This window comes from Homo sapiens, chromosome 7 (genome assembly GCF_000001405.40).
Source record: "Homo sapiens chromosome 7, GRCh38.p14 Primary Assembly".
Lineage (NCBI taxonomy): Eukaryota > Metazoa > Chordata > Mammalia > Primates > Hominidae > Homo > Homo sapiens.
The window spans coordinates 136,390,522-136,410,084 of NC_000007.14; the positions used below are offsets into that span (position 1 = coordinate 136,390,522).

At 35.5% G+C, this 19,563-nt stretch overlaps 1 long non-coding RNA gene across 7 annotated transcripts in view, besides 2 other annotated features; it reads left to right on the forward strand.

Moving 5' to 3' along the window:
- The window catches only part of LOC105375523 (uncharacterized), a 459,019-nt gene that overhangs the window by 409,575 nt on the left and 29,881 nt on the right, over positions 1-19,563 (forward strand). For 3 of the 7 annotated variants that reach the window (NR_187960.1, NR_187964.1, NR_187956.1), the window contains one exon: positions 14,749-14,795. The exons of the other annotated variants lie outside the window; for them this stretch is intronic. This is a non-coding gene — a long non-coding RNA (uncharacterized LOC105375523). The remainder of the gene's footprint in view (positions 1-14,748; positions 14,796-19,563) is intronic. 7 annotated transcript variants of the gene reach the window in all.
- Positions 4,746-4,946: a silencer, noted in NCBI's record as "peak6760 fragment used in MPRA reporter construct". NCBI's record gives its function as "represses an SCP1 promoter by STARR-seq MPRAs in K562 erythroleukemia cells {active_cell/tissue: K562}" and the evidence as "EXISTENCE:reporter gene assay evidence [ECO:0000049][PMID:32103011]".
- Positions 8,685-9,351: an enhancer, noted in NCBI's record as "OCT4-NANOG hESC enhancer chr7:136083954-136084620 (GRCh37/hg19 assembly coordinates)". NCBI's record gives its function as "activates a minimal SCP1, AML or CMV promoter by ChIP-STARR-seq in naive H9 embryonic stem cells {active_cell/tissue: H9 hESC(naive)}" and the evidence as "EXISTENCE:reporter gene assay evidence [ECO:0000049][PMID:30033119]".

A 19,563-nucleotide genomic window follows, 5' to 3' on the forward strand; every position in this document is an offset into this window, starting at 1 on the left:
ACTATATATATTTAGTGTGATGTATTCTAAGGATGAATATAGTTGCAAACACATTTTGCAACTAAATTATTCCGTTTTTTCGTTGTTAGTAACAACATTGGTATTATTTCAAAACTCTTATATCTATTGTAGGATATAAATATGTAATTATTTTAACATCAGTAATCACAATTTTCAATGTAATAGAAGAGAGATAGAAGTAGAAAATCAAATAAGTAGAAATCTCATAGTATACAATTTTAATTGAGATTATCAGGTGGACTCTTTTTTTTTTCATTTCACAACTCGTATATTTCCTAGCTCTGTCCACTTAAAAGGATGAAAATATTAATAACCATTAATTAACAAGAGCATACTTAGTGCTCAGATTGCAGCTTAAATATTGTTTTCAGTATTATTTACTTGCAGGAATGGCTTATTTCAGATCTGGGATAGAATGTTTTCAAGATTAGCCTGGGCCATATTGTGCCTGAAAGTAAGATAACTATGACTGTGTTGCATCAAGAGAAAAAACATGAAAGAGCTACTATTTGCCAAAGTTGAGACAATTTTGCTTCAAAAAAGAATAATGAAAAAAACTTATTGAAACATGTTTATTATATTAAAGCCTATTAATTATAACAATACTAAGAGGAAAAAATGACAAAAAAGCCACAAATCCAAACAAGTTCACTGTGTGAGGACTCCCCAAGACCATTCCCATGTTCAATGATTCACTAGGAGTACTTACAAGATTCAGCATGTAGTGTAATCATGACTAAAATTGATTACAGTCAAAGAATACAAAGCAAAATAAGCAGGAAAAGGCACATGCAGTAAAGTCCAGGGGAAACCAAGCTCAAGTTTCCAGGAGCTCTTTCTCTGTGGAGTCACACACAGTGCGTTTAGTGCTCCCCACAATGAGGTATAACAAAACGTGAAGAGTTGTCTGTCAGGGAACCTTGTTAGAGACTCAGTGCCCAAGGTTTTAATTGGAGGCTGGTCACATAGGAACGATCTGCCTAGCATGCACCAAAATTCCAGGCACAGGAAGGCAGGTATTCAGCACAAACCACATTGTTTCGACAAACAAATTTACGTACAATGAGCCACCCTTATCAGTTCTGGCATTGTTAGGAGTCCTTCTGACTTCTAAGTTCCCAGATGCCAGCCAAAAGCCGATCTTTTAAGCAGCACTTTGTAAAGATATGCAGTCTCAGATCTGCTTTGTTAATACTGTTTTTGCATACTCATTTCATTAGACATCACTGAAAGTGAAGAAGGGAGTAAATCCTTACTCTGAAAATTAGCAATTAAAGAGAAAAACTTAAAAATGTATTGAGATCTTCCTCTATGAACTATATGTCAGAGACACCAAATCTAGCTAACAAAAGAAAGTTACCTGCAGAATTACAGCTAATAAATGTGAAAGAAATAATAGAACTAGAAAATTGTCACTGTGTAACTCATAATGGAAGAATTAATTCATGCAGTGGTTATCAATGGATGAATCCACAAAATAGATGGTAGATGGGAAAATATATCATGGTAGAATTATACTGTCACAATCTAAAGCAATTGATTAATGTTAGTATAATAAAAATAAGACAATCAGATATTATGTGCCTTGTGATGTGATACAATGTAAAGTACATATACTTCAGAAAATAAAATAATACATATGAAACATTTATAAATATACCTTATCTAATCAAACCTCTAGAGCTAACTTTCATTTAGATAAATAAGCTAAATACTGTCACAGGAAAGAAAATAGATGCACCCAGGATATGGAAATTTTTTTTTCAAACAAGTCAATGACTAGTGGAAAAAGAAGAAAGAAAAGATGACAAAGTAAATTGTGTAAATCTCGTTTGGATCCTGATTCAAACAACTCAATTATAAACAGACATTTTGAACAAAACTGGAGTAATTTGCTTATGGCTAAGTGGTAGATAAACCGAAGAATTATTGTTAATTTTTGTAGCATAAAAATGAAATTGTGATTATGTAAGAAAATGTAGACATTTTTAAAGAAGATGCACATGAAACATGTTAAAATAAAATACAAGGAGGTCTGGCATTTAAAAATCTATCAGCAAAGAAAAATTAAAGAGATGAAACAGAGGATTTCAGTTTCTAGCTAGGGACCAGATTTAATCTACATCTTTAAACAAGAAAACCAGACAAAATACGCCAAAATCCAAAGATTAGACATTGGACAGCAGTCAGCATAGGACTGGAATCCTTGAGAGAAGAAAAACAAACCAGGCGATTCCAATAACTATTATCTTGGAAGCAATTTCTAGGCCAGAGTGCATGGAGAGGGAATTCAAACAACTTTGTATTCTTCCTAAGTCAGTGAACTAGAGAACAAAGTTTGAGGAAGCCACAATGGCTAAAATTTGGGGCAGAATACCAGAGATAAAAGAGGTGGAGAGAGACAGAGAGAGAGAGTGGGCCCTCTGGATATCTCTAGAAGGGTTTCCTTCTGGCTGAATACAGAGCTGCACATGCGTATGAGGAAACCATCCAAGCCCAGGGACATCGTCACAAGAAATCTGTAAGCTGGATAATTCCTGGAGCTATTATAAGTCTGGGAACAATTCAGGTCTCCAGTAATCAGAGTGGAAAGATCTTCTAATACATAGGACTTCTAGCAGAATTTTCAGAAGGGTTTTAGTAGTTGGGCTATATTACATAGGCAGCTCTAGATTTGCCCTAGTAAAATGTAAAAGCATGACATAAAGGATCAAATTGACTCACAAGTAAGTTAACTGCATGGCCAGAATAAAGTCAAACCATATTTTTTAAAATGCAGAAAAACCCAGCAGCATACAAGAAACATAATTTTCACAATGTTTGGTAAACAATAAAAAATTACCAGGCATGCAAAGATGAATGATGATATGACAAATGACCAGGAAAAAGAATCAATAAAAACACACCCCAAATGCCAGAGTTGATGGTGTTATTCAACAAGGATAAAAAAAAACACAGTGATTTAAAATATGCTATGTAATAGAGAAAAATTGAACATCTTGAAAATAGAATGGATATTTTACAAAAGACAAAATAGGACTTTCAGAAATAAAAGTATAGTATATGAAATGAAAAAAAAAACACTATCAGATGGGATTAATAGCGGATTAGATTCTACAAAAAATATCATTGAACTTGATGGCATAGCAAATGATACAGCCCAGAGTGAAGCACAAATAAAGAATGGTTAAAAAAAAAAGAAAATAGTCTCAATGAGCTGTGGGAAAATAATAAGCATTGAGTATAATATAAGTACAATTAATATCCCAGAAGGACATAAGAAAGTGGAGGGAGGAAGCAGAAAAAAAAAATCATCATTTAGAAATATTTCAAATTTGCTGAAAACAATAAACCCACAAATCCAAGAAAGTCAGTGAACCTCAAGTAGAGGAAATATAGAAAGCCGTATCAAGGTACATTGTAAGCAAATTGTTAATAATTAAGTATAAAGAGAACATTTTAAAAGTTAACAAAAATAGTAACAATAGAATTATTAAAAATGATGTAAGCTATAAGACAAAAGAGTGACATTCTTAAAGTACTAAAATTTAAAAATATTTGTCAACCTAGAATTCTATCTCAATTCAGTATTTTATTTCTTGTATAGTTCATTTATTTTCCTGTTCTTCATTGCAACACTAATGATTTTTTTCTAATTAAAAAGCAAAAGACTTTTTCAGGTACACAAAGCTGAGAGAATTTATCATTAGTAGGCCAGCATATCAAGAAATGTTAAAGGAAGCTCTTCCTTTTGTTTTCAGGTAGAAAACAAAATGATACTGAATGGAAATATGAATGTACATAAAGGGATAGCAGTCACTAGAAATAATAAATATGTAGGCAAACATAGAAGAGATTTTATTTCATTTTTAATTTATTTAAAAGGTAGTTGACTGCTTACAGAAAAATAAAAATAGCTATATATTGGGTGTTTATAGATGCAAAATGTGTGACAACAATAGCACAAAGGCTGGGAGGGGAAAATGGAACTAGACTGGTGTAGCGTTCTTGTACTATATATGAAGTGATCTAATATTATTTAAAGTTAAAATGTAATCAGATAGGATTTAAACTCTGGAACAATCACATAAAAATAAAACAGAGTTATAGATAGTATACCACTGGTGGAGATAGGATAGAATTTAAGAGAACGCGGCCAGGCGCAGTGGCTCATGCCTGTAATCCCAGCACTTTGGGAAGCTGAGGCAGGCGAATCACCCGAGGTCAGGACTTTGAGACCAGCGTGGCCAAAATACTGGCCACAGCGTGGCCCCTTCTCTACTAAAAATACAAAAATTAGCTGGGCGTGGTGGCGGCCACCTGTAATCCAAGCTACTCAAGAGGCAGGAGAATTGCTTGAACCCAGGAGGTGGAGGTTGCAGTGAGCCCAGATAGCGCCATTGTACTCCAGCCTGGGTGACAGAGCGAGACTCCGTCTCAATAAAAAAGAAAAGAAAATGCAGTGCAATGAAAGGCAGAATAGAAAAAAAGTAAGGAAGAACAAAAGAGGCAAACAAAAGAAACATCCCAAGAAAGTAGATTCAGACTCAATTACATTAATAATGATATTAAAAGTAAATGGAAATTCCTACAATGCAATTATAAGAAGACAACCCAACTGACAAAATGGACAAAGATTTAAATAGAGACTTTACCAATGAAGATATGGCTAATAAGCATACGAGAAGATTACTGACAACATTAGTCATTAGGGAAATGCAAATTAAAATCACAAGGAGGCTGCTGAGGTGGCTCATACCTGTAATTCTAAAACTTTGAGAGGCTGAGGCTGGAGGATCGCTTGAGTCCAGGAGTTCCAGAACAAACTGGACAAGATGGCAAGACCCTGTCTCTACCAATATTTTTTTTTTAATTAGCTAGGTGTGGTGTCACGTTCCAAAGAAGATATTCCCAAGTAGTCCCAGCTACTTGGGAGGCTGAGGTGGGAGGATCACTTGAGCCCAGGAGTTTAAGGCTGCTGTGAGATATGATCACACCACTGCACTCCAGTCTGGATGACACAGCAAGACCCTGTCTCTAGAAAAAATAAATAAATCACAATGATATACCATTTCATACTCACCAGAATGAGTTTCATTACAAAGACTAACAATACCAAATATTGATGAGAATTTAGAGAAATGTGACTCTAAATTGCTGGTGTGAATGTAAAAACAGCCACTTTGGAAGACGATTTAGCAGTTTTTTTTTTTAAAAAAGTTTAATACACTTTAGAAGAAGACAAAGCAATACCACTCCTAAGTACATCCAAGATAAATGAAAATCTATGTCTACACAGAGACTTGAAATTGAGTGTTTATATTACAATAGTTACATCTAAATGGCCCAACACATCCATTAACTGGTACATGGTTAAGCAAATGTGGCATATCAATGAAGTGGGATACTAGTAAAAAAGAGAAAGAATGAATATTGATACGTGCTTTATCATGGATGAACTTCAAAACCATTAAGCTAAGTGAAGAAGGAGGAGGAGGAGGAGGAGGAAAGGAAGGCAAGCGGACAGGAAGGAAGAAGGGAGGAGGAGGAGGAGGAGGAGGAAAGGAAGGCAGGCAGGCAGGAAGGAAGGAAGAAGGGAGGAGGAGGAGAGGGAAGGAAGGAAGGAAGGAAGGAAGGAAGGAAGGAAGGAAGGAAGGGAGACCACCACACAAAATACACATAGGTTTCAATTTATTTGAAATCCTTAGAAAAGAAGAATCTATAAGGACAGAAGTATATTGGTGGTTGTCTTGGTCTGGGCATAGAAATAAGAATTAATTGTAAATGGGCATAAAGGATTTTATGTGATGTAAACATTTGAAAACTGGATTATGGAACCTCGTGAGTTTATGAAAACTCATTGAATTGTACATTTCAAATTGGTTAATGTATTGTATCTAAATTATATTTAATAAAGTTGTTAAATAAGAAGTAAATGAAGTAAACACTCAGAATAAAAGGCAGAGATTTTCAGATTGCATAAAAAAGCAGGACATAATTTTGTTTAAAAGAAACACTTTATTAAAGGCTCAAATAAGTTAAAAGTAAAAGAATGGAAAATATATACTATTAAAACAATCATGAGCGGAAGCTGAAGTAACTATATTAATATCAGACTAAGTACATTCCAAACCAAGCAATATGAATGACTCAAAGAGGATTATTTCATGATGATAAAAGGGTAAAATCATCAGGAGAACATAAACAGACTTAAGATGCATGCATCTAATAAACTACCTTCAAAAATCTGTAAGCCAGAAGTAGAACTGAAAAAAGAAATATAAAAATCCATAATTAGAGTTACAGATTTCAACCGTTATCATTTTAGTATTTGATAGAACCAGTAAACAAAAGCCAACCTGATCTAATGGATATTTACAGAAAACTTCACTAAACAGCAGACAAACACACATTATTTGAAAGTACACTTGGAAAGTTTATCAAGATCATAAACTGTGGCAAAAATTGAGACTCAGTACATTTAAAATAATTGAAATCAGACAAAGTTTTCTGAACACAATGGAATAAGACTAAAAATCAACAGACAGATAAATAGAAAATTCCTAGGCAATTGCAGTATAACCATATACTTTTAAATAACCCATGGATCAAATAAGGTATCAGAAAGAAAATAAAAAGATGTTTTGATCAGATGAAAATGAAAACCAAATATATCAAAAAAAATATTTATAGGATAAAGCTGAAGTGCTTGGAGAGAAATTTACAGTACTAAATGCTTATATTAGAAAAGAATAAAAGTCTAAAATAACTAAGATTCACTGTGCAGGAGCTTGAAAAAGCAGAACAAATTAAACTGAGACAAAGAGAAAGATGGAAATGATAAGAAAATAATTACAAAGAATGCAGGCTTTTATGAACATGTAAGAATCATGTTATGTAATTCATCATAATATCATACTTAAAAAAGAAAAAAGTATATGATTATCTAAATAGGTACAGAAATAGCATGAGACAAAATTCAACATTCACTCATAATAAAACCCTCCAAAAAAACAGAAATAGGAGGCTGGGCATGGTGGCTCATGCCTGTAATCCCCGCACGTTGGGAGGCCGCGGCAGGCAGATCATGAGGTCAGGAGTTCAAGACCAGCCTGGCCAACATAGTGAAACCCCGTCTCTACTAAAAATACAAAAACAATTAGCCTGGCATGGTGGCACCTGCCTGTAGTCCCAGCTATTCAGGAGGCTGAGGCAGGAGAATCGCTTGAACCCAGGAGGCAAAGGTTGCAGTGAGCTGAGATCGCACCACTGCACTCCAGCCTGAGTGACAGAGCAAGACTTAGTCTCAAAACGAAAAACAAACAAACAAACAAAAAACAAATAGGAGAGAATTTCCTAAAACTGATAAAGGGCATCTATGAAAAAATCTACAGCTAATATTACTTAATAAAGAATTGAATGTTTTATTCCTAAGATCAGGAAAAGGGGAAGGATGTTTGCTCTTACCACTTCCATTCAACATTTTTATAGAGATTCTACCAGTATAATAAAGTAAGATAAAAAAGAATTATACATATTGGAAAGGAAATGAAACTGTCTTTATTCATAGGAAACATAATTATTTATGTACAAAATCCTAAAGATTGTACAATATCTACTAGAACCAACAAGTTAGCTTAGCAAAATAGCAAAACAAAGTCAAAATCCAACTGTATTTTATATACTACTGATGAATAATTGGAAAATAGTATTACACAATTCAGTGCCACTTACAATAACATAGAAATATGAAAACCTGGGAGATAAAATATCAAAAATATGTATACAACCTCTACATTATAAACTAAAAAGTGTTATTGAGAGAAATTAAAGAAGATGTACATAAATGGAGATATAAAATGATGTTAATGAGTCAGGAAACTCAATATTATTTTTATTTTAATTTCCCCAAATTTATAGATTTTTTGCAATCTCAGTAAAAATCCCTGGAGGATTTTACATAGAAATTAACAAGATGATTCTAAAATGTTTATGAAAATGAAAAGTCTTCGAATAGCCAAAACCATATTAGTAAACAACGACAAAATGGAAAACTCACATTAACTGAATTCAAGACTTCCTATATAAGCCTACAGTAACTGACAGTGTGATTGGTGAAATATCGAATAGACCTGTATATCAAATGCCTTTCTTTCAAGTAAAGCCAGTAAAACACAGTAGAATTATAAAATAGAGAAATTGCAGAGTAATCCTTTTTAAAAGGAGCCCAATATTTCAGAAATAAGTAAGTTGATTCAGATGTTTAAATTACAGTTTGATTAATGTAGTAGGAGTTGAGAGAAAAAGTCATACACAGAGTTAAATACCCAAACCAGAATGGGTTCACGGGAATAGGATATGAAGGTCTGATGAGTTAACAAATACATTGCCAGGCACTGATATTCAAGAATCTATGTTATTTACTATTTTGAGGATAACACCAAAAGTGTAGAAGTTATATTTGTTTGTTTTGGAAGATTAAGTTTACTTGGAAAATATAGAAAGACAGATGCATATAACTTAAGGGTATACTACAGAAGCTCAGCCACATGCACATAAATGTATCCTGGAGGGATACAGAAGAAATAATTACAAATGACTAAAACTCTTAGAAGCATTGGAGCTGGAAATGAGGGTGAACTGAATCAATATAATATCCTCTAATATTATTTAGAATTTTAATATTTATATATTTTATTCTTATAATAATGAGAAAATGACTCATTAAAACTTGTATCTGGTTCTACCCAGTGCCTCATATAGAGCCAAGCTTAGAAGAGGTACTTAATGAACAGTTGATGTCTTGTTACACATGTAAAATAACTTTTAAGGGGTTAAATAGAATAATAATTTCAAATTAAAACTGTACAAAATAAGAATAGAGTGGAAAATGAGTAGGAACAGCAGATTTAATGGAAGGAGTTGCTTTAGTTGCACGATCATGGTGATTTTTGTTGTTTTGGTGAAGAGGGTATTACACATAAACAAATTTGTAAGCCCGTTTTGTAAATGCTTCCCTAGGGGCTTTGGTATGCCCATCAGCAAGAGGTGAATCATGCAGAGAACTCCAGGGAAGAAAGCTAAACAGCAATTCACTTTCTTTCTGTGCTTTGCATTCAGATAGATATGCAAATAGGTTCAGTGAAGTGAACCTGGTTACAATATCACTTTGAAACTCATGTAAATTATTTTAAATGGGCAGAATACAGACCAGCTCATGAGTTTAATTTATCTCTTTTTTGAATCACGTGGTTTTGGTATCATTTTGAAGTGATGCTGATTAGTTCATTTGAAGGACATGCATAAAGCATAAAAGTATTTGCTTCTTTATGCTTATTTTGTATGATACATGCATATGTCTGTTGTACACATTATATATAAATTTAAATAAAAATATATGATACTGAACAGTAAAAAACACTCATATATGTATATATACATTTGTATGTGTATATGTCATCTATCTATCTATCTATCTATCTATCTATCTATCTATCTATGTATCTATCTGATTAATCATCTCCTGGTTTTTCTAGAGAAGAATAACCCATTGAACCTTTGGGCCTAACACAAGAATCTCATTTACTTATCAATACATTTATTCAATCTTTTATTCATTCTTCTATGTCCTAGGTGTCATGGGTTTAAGAAAAATCAAAATAAAGGAAAATAAAATTTTCCAACGTTACCCAACTGGTGGCTTCTTAACTGTTTCTGAAGTCAGTTCTAGCTGCCACCCACTAACTTATAGCTAATTAGGTCCAAGAAAGACAGTTAATTGATTGGTGAGTTGTGGCTCATATCGAAATGCAGAATCTTTCTCCATGTTTTCCCAGAGCTAATAGGTTGGTGCAAAAGTAAATAGCTTGGATAATCATAAAGTGAGTTATAATTCTTCAAAATAATATCACTGAAACTGTAAAGGGAGAGAAAGAAGAAAGAGGTACATTGTCTCTTTTCCAAAAGACATAACTGAAACTTTTGTATCTGTCTCTTATTCTATGATTCCATCGTCTCTTTTGGCATTAATTTTTCTAATACACAAAATGATGGCTAGGATTAGAAACAAGAATCCTCAGAAGATGGCTGTCAGGATCAAAGGAGTGATAGGAAGATAGAGAAGGCAAGTACATCACCATATCTCAAAGTATGTTATTCAAAACATACTTATTACTCAAAGCATGGCCCGTGTTTCAGCAGCAGTGGCATCGCCTAGAGCTTTTAAAAGTTGCAGAAGCTTAGGCACCCTGCAAACAGATTGAATTAGAATCTGCATTTTACAGAAATCCTCCAGAAATACCTTCCAGGTATTTTATATGTCCATAAACATTTGAGAAGCATAGGATTTAAAAATAGACTTGCTTGGGAAAGAGGATTTTTTGAGGAAATGGACCACCCAAAGTTCATCCAGAAGTGGCACACTGTCCTATATCATGGGGACACCTGCACAGATTTGGAAAAAGTTGCAGGATATAGGCAGGTTTGCGTTCCCAGAGAGGGATCCTGCCTCCTCATCTACCTTCTTCAAATGCAAATACGAGCTAGAGCTCAGGCAATTACCAGGGTTTAGACACCAACTGCAAAGAGTTGTCTGAGCCCTAGCTGATGGTACCTGGTGACTTTCTGAGAAATTAATTTCAGGTTATTGGAGGACATGGGACGCTGGTAACATGGCAGGTTAATTTGGATACAATCAGCTCTTACCGGAAATGGAAAACTCCCCTTCTCGTGACCTTGCAGAGGTTTTTTTTGGACAATCCTATGAGTCTCTCCCCATACATTAAATAAGTATATATATATATACACACATATATATATGTATATATACATATATGTGTATATATATGTATATATACATATATATAAAAGTCCATGTATTATGTATTATACTGTGTTACAGTGCCTGCCCCATGGTAGACCTCCATAAATAATCACTATCATTTTTATTTGTATCCACATAAAAACAAATGTTGGCAGTCATCATTGACTTATAGTTTGCCCAGTCTCAACCAAATCACCTTGTTATGGGATGAATTTTGTTCCTCTCCCCACTAAATTCATATGTTGAAACCTTAACCCTTAATGTGATGGTATAGGGAGACAGGGCCTGTGAGGAGGTGATAAAAATTAAATAAGGTCATAAGAGTGGGTCCCTAATTAGAGAAGGCAGGTGCCTTTATAAGAACAGGAAGAGACACCAAAACTCCTTCTCTTTAAGGACACTGAGAAAGACTGTGTGAGCACATAGCAAAAACGTAGCCATCTACAAACCAGGAAGACAGCCCTCATCAAAAATTGACCATGAGGGCCCCCTGATCTTAGACTTTTGGCTCCCAGAACTGTGCAAAATACTTCTGTTAATTAAATCACCCATTCTATAGTACTATAGTACTCATTCTATAGCCTGAGCTAATACACTCCTTTATTTTCACCATGTTGGTTCATTTAGTCAGCTCTCCCTCATCCTATATGTGTAAGATGATTTTTTTCACCAAATTACAGAACTATGCTTTTTTCCTGTTAAATTTTGTCTATTATGATCAATAGAATTCAAATCAAAGCAGTCTGTTCTTCTATTTTATAATAAATTATTGTGCACAAGATTTTTGCTCATACTACTACAATCCGTTGTGTTTGCTGCCCATCAGCCCAACTGTTTTCTCTCTCGCCATTCTCTTGCTTCTACTCTGTTTTTTCTTGGGCTCTGTGCTCATTAGTTTATCAGGAGATCCCTCCTGTCAAAAGGAAAAAAAGGAATGGTGTGAAGGTCACTGGAAAAGTTGGAGATAGAGCAATGGTTCTCAACCTTCACTACGTATTTGCTGATATCTGGTTCATACCCAAAGACATTCTCACTTAACTTCACATAGGTGCTCTCTTAGGATTGGGAGTTTTAAAAGATTCCCAGGAGATTCTAAGCAGTCAATTGAGACAATTCATTGTAATTTTCAGCCAGAGTGATTATAACTCAAACTGGTGAGATTATGTGCATACCTGCCTGGTGGGGACTGCCTTTTGGAAAGGTTTGGAAATGCTAACCAGGCTAACAGTTTTGGGCATCTGTCCATAGAGTCTTTCTGAGTTTTGTGTAATCATGTGTAAATTGGGACCATCCTACGCCTATATCAGCTTAATTATGGTCCTGCACTGCATAACGCTGTTGAAGTAAGTGACGGGCCACATTTGTGACAAGGTGCCCTAAGATTATAAGGGAACTGAAAAATTCCTATCACATAGTGATGTTATAGCTGTCCTAACATCATAGTGCAACGTGTTACTCTTGTGTTTGTGGCGTTGCTGGTGTAAACAAAGCTACTGGGCTGCCAGTCATATAAAAGTCTAGCAATACAATCATGTACAGCAATACATAATCCTTGATAAACAACTTTTACTGCTTTATGTATTTACTATACTGCATTTTAAAATGTCATTTTACAGTGTATTTTTCTATTTATATTTAAAAAGTGTTAACTGTAAAACAGCCTCAGATGGGTCCTTCAGGAGGGATTCCAGAAGAAGGCATTGTTTTCATAGGAGTTGACAGCTCCATGTATGCTCTTGCCCCTGAAGACCTTCCAGTGGGACAAGACGTGGAGGTGGAAGATGGTGATATTGATGATCCTGACCCCGTGTAGACCTAGGCTAATGTGTGTGTTTGTGTCTTATTTTTAAGAAAAGTTTTAAAAGTAAAATAATGAAAAGAAAAAAATTTTAAAAATAGAAAAAAGCTTATAGAACACAGATATAAAGAAAAAAATATATTTGTGTACCTGTACAATGTATTTGTGTTTTAAACTGTTACCAAAAAAGAGTCAAAATGCTAAATAAAAAAAAGTTTGTAAAGTAAAAACATTACAGTAACCTATGGTTAATTTATTATAGAAAAAAAATATTTTTATATAAATTTAGTGTAGCCTACTTGTACAGTGTTTATAAGATCTACTTTAGCATACAGTAATGTCCTAGGCCTTTACATTCACTCACCACTCACTCACCACTCACCCAGAGCAGCTTCCAGTCCTGTAAGCTGTATTCATGGTAATTGCCCTATACAAGTGTACCATTTTTTTCTTTTATACTGTGTTTTTACTTTACCTTTTCTATGTTTAGATACACAAATGCTTTTCATGTGTTACAACTGCCTACAGTACTCAGTATACATACACAGTACTCAGTACGCTATAATGCTGTACAGGTGCTAGGAGAAATGGGCTATACCAAATAGCCTAGGGGTGAGCAGGCTGTACCATCTCGGTTTGTGTAAATATACTCTGTGAGGTCCACACAACGATGCATTTCTCAGAACGCATCCCCATTTTTAAGTGATACATGACTGTACTAGGTTTACTATTCACATAAGAGGCCAGCAGGCAGGAAAGAAAGAGCCAAGTCTTTCTGAAGAGTTATCTTGGAGAAGTGCAGAGTGGCCTTCTCATCCACATAATTCATTTTTTCATTCGGCAAACACTAACTGAGCATTTAGTGCCAGGCACTTGTTGTACAGTAGCAAAAACTTTACCTGCAACAAAGCTTATCATCTGTTAGAAAATACAAATATTAAAGAAATAATCAAAGAAATAAATGTATACCTAAAATATCATAAGGGCCATGAAGGAAAGTTCATGGTGTTATGCAAGAGTAGAAGGGGTCTTGATTTGGCTGATAGGCATTTCAGGAAGGCAATCCAATGTCTCTGGGAAGCTAGAACTTTTGTGTGGCTCACAGCAGAGAAGTTCTCTAGTCTCTAGTGTCTCCTTGAGGTTTAGGGTATCATCAGAACATATAAGCCAGGATATGGGGCTCCTGGAGGGGGTGGGCTGACCACTTCTTCTTCCCACTCCCACCGAAATGCACTTTCTTCTGCCCTCTGTTTCAGACTCTCAAATCAGCCCATTATTACACCCCACCTTCCCATTCCAGCATCACTGCCTGCTCCTTGCCCTCCCTCCTCATCCTTTTTCCTTGCTAAAGTTTAAGCATGGCTTTTCTTTCTGACTGTTACCATAGATCCTAACCCAGAAGGCTCACCTACTTTGTTTGGTTATACTGGAATATTAATTGCATAGTTTCAAAGAGAAAAAATAACACTCTATTTCATAAATACTGAAGATACTTTTTAATTTAAAAGGTGTTCTCAAAAACGTGTGATAAGAGAGGAAAGGGGAGGGTGTATTGTGTAGACTAAGATGATACACAAACACATCTGGGGAAACAAGAGGAATGCTTTGCAATAATAGTCAGCTGCTCTCTGTGTGCAGCAAGGTTTGTGTGCTTCTTGGAGAAAGTATTGGGAAGAAAGAAGGCGAGTACGTTTATATTTAGAGTGAGGTAGTTAATCTTGTCTGTTTCACACATATTACTCATTGCTTTTGAATTAGTTTGAGATAATGTTTTTATCTCAGTAAGGATAATTTTGGTGATTTACTGTTAACATATAGGACAATGAAAATAAAAAGATAAAAGGCTAGATAATCCCATTACTCTTAAATAGTCAATTATAAATGTTAGGTTCTTTTACCATAGAGATATTAAGCAACTTGTAGAGAAGCTCTTTGGGAAATAATTTCATCTTAAATAAGACTACTATCAAAATAGCTATCTTTTCCATTTGTTAACATCTAACCTACTTTTATCTTTATATTTAATGAGGATTTCTTATAGGTAGGTGGCATTATCTTCTTATTAAGTTATTTAACTATTAACTATTAACTTTTGTTTTTATTTAAGTTCAGGAACTTTGCAGATCTCTTATTAACTCTTCAGTTAATAATGAGGTAAGTCTTAAGTAAATATTCAAATTTTATCTAAGTTTTTTTTCACTTAATAGTGCCATCGTGAGTTCAGAGAAGACATTGAATAAGGATGAGAGGTGATTGATAAAGGGAGAAATGTGGAAGAATAATTTTTTATTCAAATACATAAAATTTTACCTATTTAGAGATTTTTTTAAGTTTATCTTCTGCATTTTTAAAAACTTTTAATTGATTATTTTAATGGACACATTGTATTTGTATATATTTATGGGGTACAACTTGGTATCTTGATATATGTCGTATGATGATCAAATAAGGATAGTTATTGTATTCATCACCTCATGTACTTCTGATGAAGACACCGAAAGCAATTGGGACAAAAGCAAAATTGGCAAATGGGATCTAATTAAACTAAAGAGCTTCTACACAGCAAAAGAAACTATCAACAGAGTAAGCGGACAACCTACAGAATGGGAGAAAATTTTTGCAAACTGCATCCAACAAAGGTCTACTATCCAGCGGGAGGGATCACAGAAAATAACTTGTGGGTACTAGGTGTAATACCTGGGTGATGAAATAATTTGTACTGCAAATCCCCGTGACACGAGTTTACCTATATAACAAACCTGCACATGCACTCCTGAACTTAAAAGTTAAAAAAAAAAAAAGAGAGAGAGAGAAAATGGTTTAGGCATTCAAAAAACTAATAGGTATTTTAAGAATGTAACTAATAATAGAAATTGGTAGGTAGCAAGCACTTACATTTCACAAAGCATATGTGGATGCATTACTCCATTTAAAGAACAAAGCCCGGCGTGGGGAGACACTCATATAATGGAAACACTGGAACTCTGAGATTGATCCGGACCCACAAAGCTCCCTAATGGCCAACCTAGGATACACTCAGACTTGGGACTGTTTAGCTCCACGTCTCGTGGTCTTTATATGTGTCACAGTTAAGAATCAGACCGTGACAGACACAAATCATGTGAAACGGCGTCCCTCTCTCTCTCACCCATTGATCCCCCGCAGTTGTAGATGTGATTCTGCTTCCTAGTAAAAGAAACTTGCAATAAGAGTATGTGTCCACTAGAGGGCCGAACTCAGAATTCGCCGTTCTGCTGTAGAGCCCAAGTAGACAATGCCATCAAATGCTCCAGGCTCTCTTTCATCAGCTTTGTACCACCTGATTCAAACGCTAAAGCCCTGGGCATAGAGTGCAATGAAAAACACTCTTAATTCCAAGTAGAAAAAATAAAAGTTGTATTTTTCCCTGCTTGTCGATGCCTTCCGTGTGAAGTATGTTGTAAACTGTGACACCCCATGGAGCGTGGTGTCTCACTATTAAGCGAAGCCTTTTCCTGTTTCTGATGTTTGCTGGGTTGGCAGGAAGAAAAATATCAGTTCTATTTTTTAACCATACTATTTCTGTTGCCCTAACAGACTCCAGGTAAATTAATTTACTTTGAATGAGTCATTAGTTCCCATTTGCTAGAGTTCATGAAAATGAAAGCATGAAACAACATTTTATAGAAATTCCCTGAGGCACAGAACACCAAACCTGGGAAAGACGTTAGAGTCCAAATTCCTTATTTTATAGACAATAGAACCAAGTTTGAGAGCAGGGTTGCCCTTAATTACCCAGCTCACCTAAATCAGAGGCTGACCCAGAACCCAGGTCTCCTGTTTGCATGGTTCCATCCTACCCAGATTTTTTTTTTTTTAACACTGGTCCATAGAATCCTTTGGTGGCCTGACTCTCATGTTAATAAAGCCTGATCAGAGATTCTTGATTAAGTATATTGTTCACATATATTTTAATTTCCATTAGGAAATACTATTGTACCACATCAGTCAGTCCACTGCTAGAGAAGACTGGGGGGATCTTGCATCCTTATGCCAGTTAGGTCTCCTTGCACACAATTCCTGTGAGCATCCTAGAGATCCATGCCTCCTCATTCCTGGATTTGCAGAGATGGAGAGCTCACAGTTTTGAGGTTACCTAATTCTGTTGATTGAGTAATGTTGATTAAGGATTCCCACCTTACTTTTGTTGGAGGAGAGAGAAAAGTTTGGGAAATGGGATTGGGGGTAGGAAGTAGGGAGAATAATTTAAGATTGCTGTCCTTTCTTGTCTGATGATGAAGAAGTACAGAAGGACTGGGTGATTCATCTGAGATTCTGAAATTAGATGTCAGAATAGGCATTATATAATGCGATAGAAGGCTCGTTAGACTAGTAGTCAAATACGGTAAGTACTGACTCCATGATATAAGGGGCTGCTCAAATCTGAGAGTCACCTAAACACCTTCTTTCTTCAAATCTCTAATTCCTCCCTAAGTATTGTCTAAATAGCCCCTCAATATATTCCTCTCAACTCTGTCCTATCACTTTTGCTTTTTTCATCCAGATATGCCCAGCACCCTCCAGTTTGTCCCCAGTATTGCAGTTTTCTGGACCTTCCCCAGAAGCAAATACAATCTTGCATCTTTTCTGATTAAAATCCTTTACTGGCTCCCCCACTGTCCATACTGATAGCTATTCAATTGCACTTTGGAGATGAACAACTCCATTTTTGGAGCCAGAATATGTCCTTTTCCTTTCCCACTAATTTGCTTCCTCACCTAGGAGACTCCCTGTCTAGCTTGTCCTTTCTTCCTTGCTGAAATTAAATTTCTATATGATAAAAGAGGCTGGAAGCTGAGGAAGGTTTTGCAGGAATTGCCCCAGCCATAGCTACATGCGGCAACAAGATGCATGATATTTTAAGTTATGAGTAGCAGAAGCCTGTACATAATCAGAAAGATTCTAACATATTATACCTCTAAGAAAAAAATAATATGCACACATGAATGTACATATATCTCTGGACAGAGCAGCCACTAGGCTCCTGATGTGACTTGCTCTACATTCCTCTCCCCCTGGGGAACCACACAAGTGTTTTGCAACCTCCTTTCTCACCTCTGCCTACCATGCTGTGTTGCCTCTGAACATTTATATTCCACCTCCTTCTTTTATTTGTGGTAATTTTATACATGACAGCTACTAACTAACTAAGGGAAAATGATAGAGGGTCCTATTTAAAAAACAAATGCAAGCCTGTTAGTAGAAGCATAATCCCTGTAAATAGTATAGCTTTCTCAGCTAAAAATTTAAAGCAGGAGGGTTTTTTTAAAGTATAGGAAACTGGGGCTTCATTTCATCTCAGATTCCTCATGAATACATCTTGGAGATTCATGTAGCTATATTTTTAAACTCATATCCAGAGGCACACCCCCTTCACCAACATATATAAAAGATGATGAGGGGATTTTTCTTATCTTTACGTAAGAGCAGGAGTCTGTACCAAGTTTGCGAGGTCATTCAGTAACAAATTTACTCAGCATGTATTCCTTCCATAGCTCCCAGAGATCAGGTACCTTGCTAGCTCTTATGGTTGGAGATACACAGATGATGGAGTCTTGTCCTCCATCCCCTCACACTGAGAGGAGGCAGGGAATCTGACATGTAAACAAATGTGCACATGACTTGCTATATGCTATAATAGAAATGCTTGCCAAGTACTACATGAATAGAGCAAAGGAAATCCTAATGATTCAGGTGGCCACTGAAGTCGACTTCCTGGAGAAGATGATACTACACTGACAGAGACTCAAATATGAAAGAGGCAGAAATGTCACTCAGAAAGGGGCAGCATGAGCAGAAGTACTGGTTTACTTTATCCTGGTATATGTAGTATTGTGGATCATATTAGTGTGGTCTGATCGATTATAGTTTCTTAAGGGGAGATTTTTAGCCAAGAACCACTTATGCACTTCAGAAAGTTGAGCAGTTATACAAACAATTTCTTTAACATTACCTTCTTCATATGCCCTTTGAAAAAATATTTATTAGCCTCTTTTAATTACAATATTAGTGTTTTATGTTAACTCCAAGTAAGTATAGGGTGTCAGGAGATATTGCTCTATCTAATTAGGTAATATATCATTGTAATCATATCCATGGTATGACATCCAGATCATTTCCAGTTGAGAGAAGTGAGAGGAATCCTACCTTAAAATTATGAGGGGAAGTCTACCTTAATGGTATGGATGCTGGACAGCTGCCTTGTATAACCTCTGGTCTAAGTTAGAAATATGAAAGGAAACAAGCCTAGTGAAACTTAAATATCCCATGGATTTATTTTCATCCTCATTGGTGATAAAACACCCAAACTAATGTTTCTCTGTGATAAGGATCTTGAGCATATCCTTATGCTCAAGTGTGAAGCCAAGAAAACAAGAAAACTCCGTAAGTCAGTCAATTCAAAAAGCATTTCAGTGTTGAAACTCCCTAAAACGTGTTTATTCATGTCCAAGCAGAGGAAGACATATGCTTTTGGAGAATTATTGGTGAAATACTGTGACCTAAACCTTGGTTTGTGACTTGCAACCCAGGAAGAAGAAAAGGTGTATTTGGATGCTTGTCAAGTAGAAGTCTTCCTATGTGTTTTGTTTGTTTATTTTTGGTTGTTTGTTTACTAAAGGGAGTTTACCACATGCTAGAGAATTTTTGAGGACCCAATAGCACTATGATGATACTTGATTTTTAACTTAATCATATTGATTGAAGAGGAAGTAACTGTTGCTATGTAAATCGATGCTATTTATTTATTCTCCATATGCTGTTTGAAAGCATTTAGAGAAGCTTGAGGCACATGCATCCTGCTCTGGGAAACATGGGCCTGTATCTATTGCCATGTTTGCATTTTCTGCCAGTCCAACCTTGAATTCCTACAGAATCCTAATAT